Source organism: Homo sapiens, chromosome 11, assembly GCF_000001405.40.
Source record: "Homo sapiens chromosome 11, GRCh38.p14 Primary Assembly".
NCBI lineage: Eukaryota > Metazoa > Chordata > Mammalia > Primates > Hominidae > Homo > Homo sapiens.
The window spans coordinates 26,804,131-26,806,609 of NC_000011.10; positions in this window are offsets into that span (position 1 = coordinate 26,804,131).

The following is a 2,479-nucleotide window of genomic DNA, read 5'->3' on the forward strand; positions in this document are numbered from 1 at the left end:
CTTCATGATACAATAACCACATGGACTTCTTCCCTTTTCTAACATGCCAGGTTCAATCCCATCTCAGGCCTTCATACTTGCTATTTTTGCTACTGGAAACACAGCTAATTCCAGATCTTCACGTGGCTGGCTCCTTTTGTCATTCAGATCTTGGACAAATGTCATCTCCTGAAAGAGGCTCTCCTCAGCCATTCTACTCAGTGCTTCTCCCCTGGCTTCACATATTACTCTGTATTATATTTTCTTATTTTCTTTACATGTTTTTTCATGATCTAAAATTACCTTATTTATTTCTTTGTTTACTGTTAAGTTCCTGTTTTTCAGCAAAGACAGATTGCCTTACTCCCCATGGATTGTCCAGGTTTAGAAAACCATGTATACTAGGTATTCAATAACAAATAAGAAATTGTTTAGAGTGTAATTTTTAGAAAATTAAGCTAAATTCTTGAGAGAAAAAGTTATACTTTACTGTTTTACAATGTCTGAATTTATTTTTACTATACTATGTATTGTTTATATAATAATTAAATGTTAATAAATAAATAAAATCACATACACCAAATGCAATAGTACTTGCTTGTTTTCTATTCTTTAGATCAAAAAAGGAGTAAAATAAGACCCTACCTTATTTTAGATAGGGTCAAGGATATGAGCATAAGTATTATGGGGAATGAAGAAAAATTGTTACAATAGAATGGTTTCAGATCTTTTTATTTTGAAAAAATTATAAATTCATAGGAGGTTGCAAATAAATGTACACAGAAGTCCCCACACTCTTGTTCCATATTTGTACAGTGTTAACAACTTGCACAACTATAATATTATTTCAAAACCAAGAAATAAACATTGCTACAATCCATAGCGTGCATTCAGATTTCATCAGTTATACATAAACTTATAAGTGTGTGTCTGTCAGGGGGAGAGTATAGCTCTATGCAATTGTATTGCAAGTATAGCCTGTGAAGCCACCACAACAATCAACATAGTAAATTGTTCCATTAACACCCTCCTAGTACCCTTTATAGCCACACCCATCTCCTCTCTCCCACTATGTGGCTCCCCATCCCCCATTGTGTGCATTCCTTCCCTGCCCCCTGTCCCTCACTTCCTAACCACTAATGCTTGCAATCACTAAGAACCATCTGTTCTTTATCTTTGTGTTATTTCATAAATAAAACATAAATAGAATTGTGCAGTATACATCCTTTTAACATTGGCTTTTTTCAGTCAGTATAATTTTCTGGAGGTTCTTCCATGTTGTTGCACATATCAATAGTTTGTTCCTTTTTATTGCTGAGTTGTATTTCATGGTACTAATATACCATAGTTTATTTAACAGTGGTTTCTAGTTAAGGTCTATCATGAAGTTACTATAAGCATTGTGTATAAATTCCTGTGTGACATTAAGTCTAACATTTTATCTGATAAATGCGCAAGAGTGCAACTGAGTATCCACAGGGTAAGTTTATTTTTAGTTTTGAAATGAACTGCCAAACTGTTTTCCAGAGTAGCCACACTATCTTCCATTCCCACCAGTAATGTATAAGTGATCTGGTTTCTCTGCATCCTCACCAGCATTTGATGTTATCATTATTTTTCATTTTAGTTATATTATTTTAAGCTGATAAAAAAGTACATTCATGCAGCACATTCATTTCAAATTTCTTTTAATCCATTCCAAGAATGAAATCCGTTTCATTCTTTTAAAATAAAATATTAAACAATTTCCTCACAAAGAAATCAAATGCACCCAGGATGTCTCAAATGAAAAACAAATTTTCAAAATTATGTAACATGGAAAAAATAAGATTATAAATGTAAAACAATGTAAAAGTTAAAAAACAGAGTAAAGGGTCAAGAAATAATTTCCTAAGACTTTTTGATAGATACTCTAGTTCAGGCATCAATGATTAAAAGCCTGATTTCTTTTGAAATTATGATACAGTTGCACAAATTCCCAGTCTCATTAAAAAGATGTGTGCATATTTGTCATTATAATACAAAACTTAATTGAGCAAACTTTTCAAATAATAGGAATAAATGTCTCAGCCAGTGAAAATGTTAGGGAAAGCTTTAGTACAAAATAAAAAAAGCCATAGGAAAACAAAAACAACTTAACTTGCTAGTGACAAGAATCAGAAAAATAAGAGTATAAAGGAAGAGTAAAAGTCTTTATACTGCTTGCTTGAGTCGTGAAAGTCATACATAATTGGAAATATGAGTTAGAGCCTTGTATATTCTGGGCACCAGTTCAGTGTTAACTAAGGTCACTGAAGTAATGAGTAATCTCTTCTATGGCTGGTCACATGACCAAGCTGAAATTCATCAGTAATTACTGTCTAGTTCTTAATCCATAGTCATAATTTATATTAAAACCACTAGCACAACTGGAAAAATTGATAGCAGATTCACCAGAATCAAAGTGACTAGTGAAAGAAAATAGGGTATGGACTAGAATCCAACATCCTCCAAAAGCTAG